At 39.5% G+C, this 15,974-nt stretch overlaps 1 protein-coding gene across 6 annotated transcripts, besides 2 other annotated features; it reads left to right on the top strand.

The window, feature by feature from the left end:
• Positions 6,174-6,393: a silencer, noted in NCBI's record as "silent region_19432". NCBI's record gives its function as "represses an Ori minimal core promoter by ATAC-STARR-seq in GM12878 lymphoblastoid cells {active_cell/tissue: GM12878}" and the evidence as "EXISTENCE:reporter gene assay evidence [ECO:0000049][PMID:35858748]".
• On the top strand, positions 6,189-15,359 carry ZNF706 (zinc finger protein 706). 6 transcript variants are annotated; one of them, NM_001267708.2, is made up of 6 exons: positions 6,738-6,976; positions 7,718-7,761; positions 9,964-10,078; positions 10,668-10,804; positions 12,314-12,421; positions 13,172-15,359. In NM_001267708.2, exons 4-5 carry the CDS (start codon positions 10,670-10,672, stop codon positions 12,407-12,409), a joined length of 231 nt encoding a protein of 76 aa, NP_001254637.1. In that variant the 5' UTR covers positions 6,738-6,976; positions 7,718-7,761; positions 9,964-10,078; positions 10,668-10,669; the 3' UTR covers positions 12,410-12,421; positions 13,172-15,359. The 6 variants fall into 6 exon arrangements, with proteins under 6 accessions (NP_001254638.1, NP_001254637.1, NP_001035975.1 ...); XM_047421843.1 differs by lacking the exon at positions 6,738-6,976 and adding an exon at positions 7,163-7,316; NM_001042510.2 differs by lacking the exon at positions 7,718-7,761.
• Positions 6,604-7,203: a silencer, noted in NCBI's record as "silent region_19431". NCBI's record gives its function as "represses an Ori minimal core promoter by ATAC-STARR-seq in GM12878 lymphoblastoid cells {active_cell/tissue: GM12878}" and the evidence as "EXISTENCE:reporter gene assay evidence [ECO:0000049][PMID:35858748]".
• Positions 15,360-15,974: the final 615 nt, after the last annotated feature.

Below are 15,974 nucleotides of genomic sequence, written 5' to 3'. Positions count from 1 at the left end.
TATTTTCTTAATTTTACCTTCCACCCTTTCTTGAGTTTCCATTTCTACTAGCAGATAGGTAGGTAGGTAGTTAGATAGACAGACAGACAGACAGACAGATGAGATAAACTTTTCCAGTATCTTTTTTGTAGTTGTTTTCTCTCATTGTTCCTTTATTTTAAAATAGCTTCCAGGACACACCATGTTATCATCTCTGTGAGTTCGTGTCCCTCTGATGGTTCTCTTGAAGTTTTCTTCTCCCAGCATAGTTTGTTTTCTCTTGCTTTTTTCTCTGCAACTTTGGGGACTCTGTGTTTCATATAAGAGGTTTTCCTCAAATGTTTGGTTATCCTTGGCTGTGTGCTCACATTTAAGAACAGGGCACTAGACATCTGATTGGAAGACTGATACATGCAGGTGCCACTTTTCAAACATGGGATTTGTTGCAGGATTACCTGGCTGTGCTGTCTTATTGGGCAATCCCAAGTATCAGTATCTTTAGGTATTTCCATTGAGTTGGGTTCTAATCCCCAAGAAAACTCTTTCAGTTTTCTGGCTGGAGGTATAAGATTGTCTGTTTCCATTCTCAGAGCTGAGATGGTGAAGTGTCTCTCAACATTCAACTTAAATTTTCATTTAGTCCTCTGTTTTGCTACCCCCACTCATGCTTGCTGCCCCTTCAGTCCAGAAACCCTCTTCTCTCCTAAATCAGTTACCACTTGTTTACTTACTTTGCAGCTTCCAAAATTCTGCTACATTCTTCTCTTCTGTTTTCTTTTCTTCAATGGTAAAGGAGTTTATGCTTTCTTATAAACTCCTTTACCATTATTTTTAGTGGGATTCCAACAAAGGGTAGAGGTAAATGCATGTGTTCAAGCCTCTATCTTTAACTGGATGGCAGGGGTAATCATTTTCAAATACTGGCCTCACGGATTGTCACTGATACTTGTAATTTCATTCACAATCCACTCTCTTATTTCATCCATTTACAGATACTTATTAACTACCTGCTAGGTGCCAGGCACTGTACTAGATGCTGGTTAACAAGACATAACTCAGGACCTGAGGGAGCTCATCTTCTATGGATAAACAGGCAAGTACAACACAGTGAGATAAGTGCTATTTTTAGGGAAGTACATCATAATCTGTGATACCTAGGAGGTCTCCTAACCGAGTTTAAAGGAATCATTCAGACTTACATTCATTCAACAAATATTTATTGGGTACCTACATCATGCCAGATGCTATGCTAAATACAGGCTACACAGGGATAAAAAGAACAGATACAGAACCACCCTTATAGTATACACAGGACCACGGCTCAGCCTCAGGAAAAAGACTGCCAGGAGCCAAATCTTAGCTTTTCTACTTACTAGCTGTGTAATCTTAGATAACTTAGCCATTTTGTACCTCAGCTACATAAGAGTTGTTGAGAAGGTTAAATGAATCAAAATATATAAAGCATATATAACAGTGCCTGGTAGATAGTAAGTACAGCACAGGTGTTACAGGTTATTGTTTTAGGAATCAAATGGAAAGGAGAAATTCTACAAATTTATATATATACACATATACATTATATATACACATATACATTATATATACATATATATGTAAAACATTTCATGAAACAATACATAATATTGCATGATAAATTCAAAGGATGAAAAGTACAAGGACTCCTCATTCAGATGGGGGCTCAAGGAAGGACCTCCTTTCACTTAGCATAACGTTTTCAAGGTTCATCCAAGTTGAGGCATGTATCAGAACCTCATTCCTTTTTATGGCCAAATAATATTTCATTTTATGGCCATACCACAGTTTCTCAGTTCATCACCTGCTGAATATTTGGGTTGTTTCTACTTTTTGGCTATTATGAATAATGCTGCTTAAAATGTACAAACTTTTGTGTGAACGTATGTTCTCATTGCTCTTGGATATATATCTAGGATTGGAATTGTTAGGTTATATGATGACTCTATGTTTATCTTTTGGAAAACCACCAGACTGTTTCTAAATTCTTCACCTCCTCTCCAATACTTGTTATCATCTGTCTTTTCGATTACAGCCATCCCAGTGCGTGTGAAGTATAATACTATCTCATATTTTGATTTGCATTCTTTGATGACTAAGAATGGTGAGCATTTTTTCATGTGCTTATTAGCCATTTGGGCATCTTGTTTGGAGAAGTAGCTAATCAGATCCGTCACCTATTTTTTAATTGGGTATTTGCTTTCTTAGTATGAAGTTGTAAGCATTCTTTATATATTCTAGATAGAAGTCATTTATCAGATATATAATTTGCAAACATATTCTCCCATTCTGTAGGTGGTCTTTTTTTTTTTTAATGGCATCTTTTGAAGCACAAAGTATCTTAATTTTGATGAAGTTCAATTTATCTGTTTTTTTTCTTTTGTCACTAATGCTTTTGATGTCATACCTTAAAAAGCCTTTTTTGGCCTGGCACAGTGGCTCATGCCTATAATCCCAGCACTTTGGGAGGCTGATGCAGGTGGATCACCTGAGGTGAATCACGAGGTCAACAGATCAAGACCATCCTGGCCAACATGGTGAAACCCCATCTCTACTAAAAATACAAAAATTAGCTGGGCATGGTGGCGTGTGCCTGTAGTCCCAGCTACTCGGGAGGCTGAGGCAGGAGAATCTCTTGAACCCGGGAGGTGGAGGTTGCAGTGAGCCAAGATTGCGCCACTGCACCCCAGCATGGCGACAAAGCAAGGCTCTGTCTCAAAAAAAAAAAAAAAAAAAAAAAAAAGCTTTTTTAACCCGTGGTCATACATATTTACTCCTATGTTTTCTCCTAGGACTTTTATGTTTTAGCACTTACATTTAGGTCTTCTATCCATTTTGAGTTAATTTTTGTATATGGTATGAGGATAGGATTCAACTTTATTCTTTTACATGTGGATATCTAGCTATCCCAGTAATATTTGCTGAAGACTCCTTGCCCCATTGAATTTGTTTGGTGCCTGTGTTGAAAATCAATTGACTATACATATGAAGGTTTATTTTTAGACTCTCAATCCTACCTCATTGATTTATATGTCTAATCTTATTCCAGTACCACACTGTTTTAATTACTATAGCTTTGTAATAAGTTTTTAAATTGGGAAATGTGAATCTTCCAATTTTATTCTTTTTTCAAGGTTGTTTTGGCTATTCTGGGCTCCTTGAATTTCCATATAAATTTTAGAATAAGCTTATGTAAAGATACCAGACAGGATTTTGATAGGGGTTGCACCGAATCTGTGGATCAACTTGGGAATTACTGCCATCTTTACAAAGTGTTCTGATCCATGAACATAAGATACCTTTCCATTTATTTAGGTCTTTAATTTCTTTCAACAATGTTATTTAGAGTTTAGAATACAAGTTTTGCACTTCTCTTGGTAAGTTAATTCCTAAGTATTTTATTCTTTTTGGTGCTATTCTAGTAAATCACATTATTTTTTAAGCCTATTTTTAAAGTCTCTGAAATCAAGATGTATCTTAGAATCAAGGATATCAGCATTTTGTCATAGTTCAGTTGGCAGTATTTTTTAATCTTAGTGGACATAAATGTGACTTACAATTAATGGCTCCTTAGACTCAATACAATATGCTATTAAATGTGAATGTCTATAAGACATCAGAGGGGAGATGAGTAGTAGGCATTTGGATATGTCAATTTGGAGATAGAAATGTGGGGGTCACCTGAAGCTTGCTATTTAAAGGCACAACAGTGAATGAGATTCCTTTGGAGAAAGAATATAAAGAAGACAAGAAGATCTAGGTTGCATGTGTGAGAAATCTCAACATGCAGAAGCGAGTGAAAGAGAAAGAGCTGGTAAAAAATAAATAAATAAAAATAAATCCATTTCTGTTCTAAGTTTATTGTTGCCATTATTGCTGTTGCTATTATTTGCCACTAAACATTTGTCAGAATAGTCTGTTTATTGGGAAAATAATATGTTGATTAATCACCAATTCTTTCATCCCCCCAAATCCTACATGAATACAAATAAACAAATAAGCCTTTCAGGTCTTTAGAGAAGCATTTTAATCTGATTGAGATTTTGGATAGAAAATAGGCACATGTTTATTGCATCTTAACCTTGGGTAATTGTCTAAAGGCAGAAGAAGAAAAACAGTCAGGAGAGTTACTGTAGCATTCACAATTAAAGCCAGCAATGTGTATAAAAATGCTTCTAAGGAGTTCATATCACATTTGCTGTCACATTTCTATAACATAAGTAGGACACCAGCTGGTAGTAATGCTAATTCATCCGCCTTTCATTTACTGAGTGTCACTTCACAGATGTTGAATCTTATCCATTCCTTGTTTCTTTTTTTTTTTTTTTTTTTCAAATTCCCTAACCATCACATAAAGTTACCATTATGCCATATCCTCTAGGCAGTGGTTCTGAATCAGGGGAGACTTTGACCCCCTGAGAACATTTCACAATGTCTGGAGACATTTTTAGTTGTCACAACTGGAGATGAGGTGCTACTTGGATAAGCAGGTAGGAGACAGGGATGTTGCTAAACATCCTACAATCCCCAGGTCTCACAGAGCCCCATAATAAAGAATCATCCAGCCCAAATTTCAACGGTGCTGAGATTAAGAAACACTACCTATGAGGATAAGTTACATGATAAGTACATGAACTTTCTGGGGGCAAAGTCAATAGCTTTCACCAAATTCTCAAAGGAGTTATGACTCAAAAACTTAAGAAACACTAGCTTGAATACATATTTCATCTAGGCCATGGTAAAGAGTGACATATTAACCTACTTCACAATAGGAGTCACCTCTTTAGTTAAGAAGACATATCTCTGCCACACAAATTTCACTGTCCCTTTCCACTGTCTACTGTCATTCACGGCTAGATAAACACAGATCTTTGAAGTTCCCATTTCTAGGGCCAACAAGTACCCATCCCTCTATCAGCCAGATTAACACAACCATTAAGGTTACAGTGACTATTAGTGACTAAGCTAGAGCTTCATGCTATGTCAATTTAAAAGCTGCTTTCTTCAGACATACTCGGTTCATTTGATCAATATCCATTTATTCAACGTCTACTATGTTTAACATACTGCGTATTCCCTGATGAAAATAATCTTACAATCTAGGACTAGAGAGTAATTTAAAACTGCAAGAAGGAAGTCAGAGCATAAAAAGTGAAGGTGAGAGAAGCTGAAATGAGGATGAAGAGGGAGAACTGAACACCCGGATCACTGCATGCCATGTTTCATTTCGTATTTTTCTCCACTCAAATGCAATAGGCAGCTAACTCCTTCCTGGCTAGTTTAAACAATTCTGTGGTATCTATAGCCCAGTCCAAGTCATTTGGGATATACTAATATTCAGCCAACATTTCCTGGGCACTGCCACGCAAACTTGGGAAACGGCACTACAGGCAAGGTGAGAACAGCCAATGCAAACACTTTTTTTTTTTCTCCTTTGTCACTAGTAGTTCTAATTAGAAACGAATGTGGCGGGGGTCGGGGGTAAGTATGCACAATAAAGCTGATGTCTAAAGTACTGTTTCCAGATATTCAGCAATTTTAATCATGGTTATAATCGCCATTGCTCTTGTCAGATATTGAAAGTTTGCTGCCACTGCCTGTAAATGGAGAGAGAGCGCGCGCAAAGAACTTTAACCATTCCCCGAAGGATTAGCAACTCAGTACCGTATATTGTTAGCAGTCAAACTAAACCCCTCCGGGAAGCCTGGCCAGCAATTTTTTTTTCTTTTTTTGTTTTTTTTTTTTTTTAGGCAGGGTCTCACTCAGTCGCCCAGGATGGAGTGCAATGGCGCGATCTCGGCTTACCGCAACCTTCACCTCCCGGCCTCAAGCGATTCTCCCACCTCAGCCTCCCGAGTAGCTGGGACTACAGGCGCGGGCCACCATGCTCCACTATTTATTTTATTTTATTTTATTTTTGTGGAGACGTGGGTCTCGCTATGTACTCAGGCTGGTCTGGAACTCCTGGGCTCAAGTGATCCTCCTGCCTTGGGCTCCCAAAGCGCTGAGATTACAGGCGTGAGCCACCGCGCCCGGCCTAGCCAGCAATTTTTAATACGACTTAGGCTTGAATCTTGAACTCACTAAAAGCCCCCAGCTTGGGAAAACACCTGGGGTTTCCATGGGAGTGAGGTAAAGGGCGGCTGTGAAAGAACAAAGGCTGTGCGTCCGCGTTCAGAGCCGCTGGGTCCGCCGGGCTCGCTGGGGGCCGGGGCCGCGGTGTCCTGGGTGGCGGGGCTCCGGGAATGTGACTCAGCCACCGCGGCCCCGCGATCCGCTCCCGGGCCAGCGCCTCAGTCGGTGCCGAGGAGGGCGGCGCCGAGACGGGCGCGTCAGCCTGGGAGGAGCGGGAAAAGGGTCGCAGCGCCTGAGGCCCGGCCGCCGCCCGAGTGGATGAGCGAGCGAGCGACTTGTGAAACACGCCGCGGCCCGGTCACCAACCAGGACCGGGATCACGTGGCTCCCAGGGCTGGGTGAAGAAGCCGCCCGGACCGAGCGCGCCGGAGAGGAGGGGCGCCTGGGGACAGAAGGCGACGTCCCCTGAAGTTTGTGTCAGCCAGGGCCCGCCCCCTCGCGCTTATGTAATAGGGGCGCGCTGCCATTGGCCCGCGCGACCAGCCAGGGCGCAGGCGTGCGAGCGGGGTGGGGGCCAGAAGGAGGCAGCCGCAGAAAGGCACATGGGCGGGGCTGCGAGGAGCAGGCGGGGCGGGGGCGCCGAGGAGAGCGGCGCGGCGTGCGCGGGCACGAGGCGTAGTGGTCTCCCCTAAGGCTGAGGCGGCGGCGGGCGCGCGGCGGCGGCGGGCGTGCGAGGCTGTTGTGCTCCCGGCTCTCGTGTTTCCCCTCCTGAGCGGGTGGAGGAGGCCCAAGCGGTGCTGGGCGCGCTCCCCCTTCCTTTCCCTCCGGCGTCCTCTCCCGGCCCTCTCGCGCTGCACTGTCTCTCCGACGCAAGACTGTCCCGGCCCGGGTGAGCGGCAGCGGGGGCGGTGCTGACGCCGCGGGACGCCCGGGAAACGGGGCGGGGGCCGGCCAGCGGGGGGCGGTGGGGACCGTGGGACTCGCCGCGGGTCGCGAGGGGTCGCGGGGGGCGGCAGGGCCCGGCCCGGGGCGGGCCGCGGGAAGGGGATGAGTTCGGGCGCCTGCCAGGCCCTGCAGGTGGCCGGGTCGCAGGCCAGCCGCGGAAGCGGAGCGGTAACCTTACCCCCGGCGACAGCCGCCGGTCAGCTGCCAGAGTGTGGCGCTCCCGGTGGACGCAGGGGCCGGGTTTCGGGCAGTCTCGGCCTCCAGGAGGCGCGTCTTGGTCCAGGGTCCGTGAGGACTGGCTAGATGGGGGCTGCGTGGCCTTTGGTGGCAGGGAGGAGGAGGGGGTCTCCGAGGCGGGAGAGGCGGGTTTGGGAAGGAAGGTGCGCCAGGCTGAAGCTGGGGTCGGAGAAGTGTTGGGTGGAGACCTCACTGTGGGTGCGTTCCTCCTCTCCTCTCCCCAAAACGATGGTGTTAAAAGCTAGGGTCAGGATGTGGAGCGCTGCCTGGGCCTCTTCCTTTCCGATGGTTATGGAGAATGAGCCTACTTCCTGGACCCAAAATCCTTTTCTTCTGTTACTCATTTATGTTGGTTTTAAAAGGAGCTTTGGGGCAGAGCTTACTTGTTGCCTCCTACGAGAGCGCCTCATTTTAGAACTCGTTTCTTCCACTACTTCCCTCTTTGCAGCCCCCTCGGAAAACCACACTGAGAGTTGCATTAAAAACCAGCATGTAGGTATTTGTAAGTGACTTTTTCCCTCCAGTTTGTCGCATTTAATCAAGGAGCGGTTGTAGCTGCCTACGATTTTGTAGAAAATTGTGTTGGCTTGAGAGCAAGTCCTAAGTTGAGCTGTCCAAAAGCAGGTGGTTGGTTCGTTTGAATTTCTGCTTTCAGAAAGGAAATCGATGGGGCGTGTTGTCAGAAGTTAGGGGCCTACCTCATGCATTTAGCTTATTTTATTCCATTTCCTTTACCTGGTGTTAAGTTTTCTGTCTTCAGAATAAGAACAAGTGACTACTGTCTTTATTAAGTCTCTTCGGTCTTTTTGGTTGCTGTTTGGTGACAATGGAAAATGGGTTGAATCTATTGTGTAATGTTATATTTTAGGGAAAGTCCTAAGTGCAAAAGTTAAAAATAATTTTGTGTGTCTAATGACATTGCTTTGTACGAGTCACAACATGGAAATATCAAAATAGCTAGTAACTTCTAGAAAGCAAAGGAACTTCTGAAATTAGTGGCTTACCATTTTTGAAGATTTTTTTTAACATAAAACAAGATTTCCCACAAAATCAGTGTATTAAGATACATAAAATACATTGTGTCGAAGAGTTAAGATGTGTGAGAAGACTGGCTATTTTGTTACAAGGTCCTGATAGTAAGACATTGAGACAAAAAACCTTGCAAAACATTGGTATACATAAAGGCTGATCACGTGACTACTGTCGTCCAAATAATACATAAGTATCCAAACCTGTTTCCATGGGAATAGGTTTGTAAGCTTGCGGTAACATCGGACTTAAATACACTTTTAAAAAAAATGTGCCATTTGGCTTAGAATTAATAATTTTTTTTAAAGCAAAAATGGAAGCTTAGTCTTCAAGGACTGATAACAGCTGGTAATATTTACCATTGTTTGGTGGGAATGGGGTTCTCATATTAGGCTAGCACGCTAAACATTTTCAATTACGAAAATGTATTAGGCTCGTGTGCTACCCTAATATAAAAACCCCATATTTCCTCAGTTGAAATAGTCAGCTGACTATCCTGAAAAGCATTGACCCTCTTTTATATTTTATCTGACTTTCAGTTCATTTTTTTAATGCTAGTGGGAACTTCTCCAATCAGTGTATTTTTTTAGTTTCCTTTTTTGGGGAACAGGAGGAGCTCAGTAATTTTTATGAAATGCTTTGACCTCATATCCATTAACTAATTATGGTCCTAGTCAGAAGAAGCTAGCACCCTTCCCTGGTGAAGTTGATACAAATCCATTGTATGTTCCTGTCCTGCAATGATTTACATTCAGTTACAGTACTAGTCAAAACTATATATATATGAATTCTACTTAGGATCCAATTTTGATATATTTAAAAAGCAATTGAGACTCATGATAGACTTTATGAGCAGGTTTAACTTGTGTGGTCGAATAAAAGCCTTTAATTTAAATGGAAAAGTAAAAGTAACTTTTTTCAGTGACTTGATTTTTTTTTTTGTTTTAATCCATTTGGGTTCACGTCAGATCATCGGTAACAAAAAGTGGTATCTTTCAGCTTTGTAAAAGAACCCTCTTAACCAAGTTCATTCCCTCAAATGGGAACTAACGTCTAGAGAGCAAAGAAACTTCTGGAATTAGTGGCTTGCTGATAATCTCATTTTATAATTTGTTCAGCAATCCAGCAAGACCAACTTTTTAAAAAAATTAATAACAGTAGTTTTATGAAAACTAAGTAAGAAAACAGTTTCCACCTATTTCTGAGGTCTCCTTTAGAAGGAGTAACAGACAGCTTTTATTTCTCTTAAAGTTATAAAAATCACAATCGCAAGTCACAATGAATACTGGGAAGGGAAATTACTTTTGCAGAGTGATCAAGTAAATGATAGCGGGGGCTAAACTTTTTTAGTAAACTTGTGAAGATTACATACAGTAAAGTGCATAAATCTTGAGTGTACAATTCAATGAATTTTTATAAGTAAACACACTTGATTCAAGAACATTTTCAGGACCCCATAAGTCCCCTTCATGTCCTGTCTTCCCAGTCATTACCCATAACCCCCAAGGTGACCCCTTTCACTATAGATTAGCTTTGCCTGTTTTGAACTTTAAATAATGTATATTCCCCACAACTGGCTTCTTTCCTTTAACATTGAGATACAACCAAGTTGTTACTTGTAACAATTTTTTGTTTGTGTGTTTGTTTATTTATTTTTGAGACCAGAGTCTCACTGTCGCCCAGGCTGCAGTGCAGTGGTGCCATCACGCGTCACTGCAACCTCTGCCTCCCGGATTCAAGCAATTCTCCACCTCAGCCTCCCAAGTAGCTGGAATTACAGGTGCCTACCACCATGCCTGCCTAATTTTTTTTTTTTTTTTTTTTTTTTGTATTTTTAGTAGAGACAGGGTTTCACCATCTTGGCCAGGCTGGTCTTGAACTCCTGACCTCATGATCCACCCGCCTTGGCTTTCCAAAGTGCTGGGATTACAGGCGTGAGCCACCGCGCCTGGCCACAATTTTTTAAATGCTGGGTAGTATTCCGTTGTATAAATACTATAAAAATATGTATACAAGTTGTGCATCCGTGTTACTATTGATGGGCATTCAGATTTTTTCCAGTTTTGGAATGGGCACTCAGAACATTTTGTACATGTCTTGGTGTACATAACATTTGCATTTCTATTGGGTATATACCAAGAGTGGAATTGCTGGCTCATAGAATAAACAGCTACCAACTAGTTTTCCACAGGGTTGTGTCAATTGATACTTTTGTAGCATTTATATGTGGGAATTTTAATACCTATAAATTTTTATTTGCCAGATATTTCTATAAAACTTAAGGCTTCAATTCTAAGAACGTTCTTATGCTTTGATTACTCTGTATTAGAGTAAATAAGCCACTCTAATGCTTCACCTTCTGTTTTTAGATATGGCTCGTGGACAGCAGAAAATTCAGTCTCAGCAGAAAAATGCCAAAAAGCAAGCTGGACAAAAGAAGAAACAAGGACATGACCAAAAGGCTGCTGCCAAAGCTGCCTTAATATATACCTGCACTGTCTGTAGGGTAAGGGGAATTGAATTGAAAGATACAGCTCTCCCGTGGGCAGTTTTGGCTTGAATAGATTAAAATTTTGAAACCATGGCAAAATAGATGCTTTACATGAAATAGTAGGTTTGAGAGCTGATTATTTTAGGTATCTATTTTCATTCACCCTTTAAACAAATATTTTTTGAATGGCTCCTGTGGCCAGGCAAAAATCTCTAGGTGCTGGGAAAACAGAGTGAACAAAACAAAATTGCTTTCCTCATATAAAATAAAGATGTCTTCATAAGGGCATATAATACACTTCACTAGCACATCATATAACTCTACACTCTTAGAGCTATATAATATGCTAGTAAGTATACCTCTAGTTATATAATTGGTTTTTTCTTCACTAAATTTATAATTAGGATGTCTGTAAAACCATATAGAGTATAATCACGTTGAGAGCTTTTCCTAGAATTAATGTGTTGTATTAGATTTGAAGAACTGTAATAATAACAGCTACTTTTGAGTGCTTACCATATGCCACACATAGAGCCAGGTGTTTTACATGTATTCACCTATTTAATCCACATAACAACCCTATAAGATAAAGTACTTTTATTGTTCTCATTTTACAGAAGAGTAAACTGACTAATGGAAATTAAACAATTTGTGTGGGGTCTCCCAGCTGGTTAGTAGAAGAGCTGGAATCTGAACTCAGGCAGTTCAGCTCCAGAGTCCACCCTCTGGACCACTACTGTACTGCCTCTCAAAGAAGTACTTCTGAAATTCCAAATCAGAGCCTCTTGCCTGTTTGTTTAAGCTCATTACCCTTGAAGTTAGTGAGTGGCAGTACCAAAGGAAACCATAGTGGAGTTAGTACACTACATATACACTCAAAATAATGAAATTGAGCAGCTTGTGATTGTTTGGAAAGAGGCAGGGTGCAAATTTTAATCAACTAGTAATGAAGAAATACCTTAATCTAAATGTGGTAGAGTAGTTACATATATTTAAAAACTCAAAACCACAGACTTTTATTTCATATTTTGTGTAATTTAATGGGTTAAGAATAAATAATTGAAGGTTCTTGCCAAGGGAAGTCAGTATAGTATAGTATTTGAGAGGTCACATATCTAGTACTAAGTTAAAATAAGGTCTTGGGCAAATTAAACTCTGGGTTTTAGTTTCCTTATCAGGTAAAATGATGCTAGTAGGAGCTAAAGATTACTTTGAAGGTTCTGTGGGAATTAAGGTAACATGCTTAATATAATAAGGGTTCAGTAAATGTTACCTATTGTTTGCTGTTAATCAGATAAGCAGAATACATTCTATGTGACCTACCTTTCTTTATAGGTGAAATGTGGGAACGTTAGGAATTTCTTTACCACAAAGTCCCTCTTCATATGCCAGTCACTAAGTTGTAGGAATTTAAAGGTGTTTTTGGGATAATTGTCTATACTGAGAAGGTTCAGGATTCTAAAAAGTAACACATTTTTATTTTATAAATAAAGTCTAGCTCTCTTTTGCACAATTTTTTGTTAGACACAAATGCCAGACCCTAAGACCTTCAAGCAGCACTTTGAGAGCAAGCATCCTAAGACTCCACTTCCTCCAGAATTAGCTGATGTTCAGGCATAAGGTTGTTTACAGGTAACTCACCTCTTTTTCTATTGGTTTGTTAATAACAGGGTTGTATACAAGACCAAAACTGTCTTCACTTATTGTGAAATTAATTTCTGCCTTCTGAGATTTTATTGCTTCCCCTTTTTAAGTTAATGTGTAACTGAAAAGTCCCTTTTTCTCAGACTATTTCCTTTCAATGCCTTTGAAACATCCAAATTTTTACTACTGTAGCCAAAAATGGGGAGATGAGTACATGCTAGCCATCTCTGATCAAAGAATGGAAGGAACTTATCAGTTTAAAGAAAATAGTGATTACAAAGTTATTTGAGAGTTTCCCTCTAAAAACAATGTACACCAATGTTCCTGAGCACCTCTTTACAATTAGTTTACTTATAGTACTTAGCAGAGGTTCTTTTTTTTCTCCCCCAACCTATCCCCTTAGCAAAGCTTCTGAGTATTAAAATATAGGGCAAAATGTAGATGTAGATATGTGCTATATAAATTTGTTTATAAATTTGTTGGTTGAAAGTTATCACTTTACACATTACATTTGGTTGGATTTTTTCCCCCTAAATAGTGGAGTTGGTGGTGGGTGTGTTGTGTGTTTCAGAATTCTTTCTTTTTAAAATAAATTCTTCAGAGTTCTGTATATAAAGTCGAGTTGACAAGTTTACCAGATATTATCTTCATAGTGTTTCTTCTTAGTTATTTGAAATGCATGTAAGTTGCATTTGTGCAATGGTAACATTCATTGAAAATTTTGCTTATGTTTTATAGGTGAATTCATGACACCTTTGACTCTTCTACTGTCTCAGACCTTAGGTAACATACCTGCAGCTGCTTTTCTAACAAACTGTTGATCAGCAAAAATAAAGGGGCTACAGAAACACTCATTTTTATGCTGTTCCCTCTTGGGCTTCATGCAAAGACAATTCTGTGTAAATGTACAGTTGACTCTGATTTGGAAATATGAAAATCAGTCCATCCTTGTTATAAAAAATTTTTTTACAATTGTAATTATATTGATGTTCATATTGTGTAAAATAACTCATTTAATAAAATAGTACTTTGATTTACGACATCACAGGATAAATGGTTTTAGAAATTCTGTTCTAACTTTCCACATTATTTGCCTTATAAAAATCTAATGAATTCATCAGCTAGAATTGCAAGTGCAATTCTTATATCCCTTTCTCTGCTCAGTGGCAGGTTCCTCAGTTAAACTAGAGCAGACTGATTCATTAAAATTGTGCATACGATTTTATGGGCAGCTGATGATCTAGGTGAAAAATGACTTATCTGCTGCCTTAGTATATTGCGGTTATGTGTCATTGTACCCCTCTGATCATTTCCTGTGTTTGAGTTGGAATATTTAAAATTGCAGTATGACCTGGCTCTAACTGCCAGTCAGGTGTACCCTGTAGATAACTGATAGCTTCCTAAAAGCGGTTGGATTGTCAGTGAGCCCTTGTGAAAGGTTAGGTTCTAATGTATATGCCGTAATGAAATAATCATTAAGCCTATTGTTTAATGCAAAATATGGAACAAATGTGAACTGGTAAAGGTCGATCTTGATACTATATTCTTTGAAAATTCTTGAAGTTCTTTAATTTGAAATTGAAACATTAATTTTTGAGGTTTTTGGAAGTTACTATTTGGCCATTTTTACAAATGGATTTTGCATTAACAGGAAGATTGGAATGACTTGTGGCTGGATTAATTCCCAGAACCCTCTCCCTCCTTTCTTTTCTAAGTGAGTTGTTGATTTTAGGAGTTTGCTTTGTGCTGTTACCTAAAATCAGAGACTGGTGTACAGTATGACTTCCATCTGAACTTGAAAAGTATTAAAATGGGTCAATATTCACATTCTTTTAGATCTCAGGATGGGAAAATGGGTTTGTTCAGATGGATATGGTAAATCTTACCCAATTAAGGAAGGCTAATTTTAGAGTTCTTCTAATTTGCTTGTGTCAACTCTTAACTTGTAAAACTGCTGTTAACTCGGTTTAAATTTTTAAATTAATATAATAGAAAGAACACTAAAATACTTACTGGTAACTGCTTAGAGCCATTTATCTGATCCTGTGGATTACAGAATGCATTCCCTCTTCTGCTGTAGCTTATCATTGCTTTGTTTTGTAGCTCTGCATATTTTGCCCACCTTGTCTTCCCTGTAAGTTTAAGACGTTTCCAAGGAAAAGCTTCAGGGCTGATAGTTTCTTAGCAATTCCTATTCTTATGCCCTTACTTTAAAATAGTCCTTTTATTTTGTGTATTTTATTTCCTAAGTTTCAGATGTAATATCTGTTGTTTCCTAACATGTCGATTACCAGAACGTTAGAATTTTACCTAATTTCTTGTGGATATTGCAGAAGTTCTGGTTAAATCACAACTTAAAAGTTTTTAAAAGTGCTTTGAGCATATGTATATGTTTAGTGACAAATCATATAAAACCATTCACAAGTTTTGGTTTTTTTTTTTTCGTTTGTTTTAGTGACTAATTCAGGATGAAAGTTTTTTTGTTCTTGTATTTAACCCTTTTTTATAAGCAGCTGAAGACACCATATTTAACACTATATCTCAGTGATAGGGAAATAGCTGCATTGATCTTACATGAGCATAATCATCCTTATACTTCATGAGGGGATTATTAGTACAATCCCCATTTTACTGTGTTTGAGTTAAAAACCAAACATCCCTGTAATTTAATTTGAAGATTCTTTAACAGATTGCAGCAAAGTTCATTATAAAACTGTTATGGTGTCTTCAAAGACTTGATAAAATAACACTGAGAGAGAATTGGTCCATTTGTATGCTGTATTTCTATTACTTGCCAAAAGGAATGGGGTTAAGATTAAACTTGTTTCCATTCTCTTCACATGGATATTCATCCCCATGTTTAACTGACACACTGGGGGCTCAGTTGTGTGCTGTAATGTCTTATTAAAGAAGATATTAAAGAAAACTAAACTAGTCTAATTTCTTCTACATTTTAAGAGGTTTTTATATTCCCACTTTTTTTTTTCTCCTTTCTGAGCTTAGAATTGGCTCTTAAGTATAGGTTGGTAGATTTGAGGGTAGCAAGAGATTTCTTTCATTTCTCGTTTTCCCTGCAGTCTTTCCCTTTTTGAGGTCTGTAGAATACTTGGGTGGAAAAAAACTTGTCATTTTGAAACCTTACTGTATAGAATAAGTGTGAATTGTTGGAAAGGGGGAAGTGATTGGCTATTAACATAAAAATACAATTATGAAAAATACTTAGGTCAGTTAATTGAATTGGATGGGTAAGTCCTTGATGATATTGTAAGATTTGAAGTTTTAGTTTTATATTAAAGATACTATATAGGTAATTAATGACATCATAATTCAAACCTGAGATGCAGCATAAGATAGAATTTATCAACATTACTATTTTACCTAGGAAAACCCATGTTTTTAATTTTCATTAATATATGTAATGTGGCCAGGTGCAGTGGCTCACGCCTGTAATCGCAGCACTTTGGGAGGCTGAGGTGGATGGATCACTTGAGGTCAGGAGTTCGAGACCAGCCTGGCCAACATGGCAAGACCCCATCTCTAC

This window comes from Homo sapiens, chromosome 8 (assembly GCF_000001405.40).
Source record: "Homo sapiens chromosome 8, GRCh38.p14 Primary Assembly".
In the NCBI taxonomy this organism is placed as follows: domain Eukaryota; kingdom Metazoa; phylum Chordata; class Mammalia; order Primates; family Hominidae; genus Homo; species Homo sapiens.
This window is presented reverse-complemented; position numbering and strand designations above follow the sequence as displayed.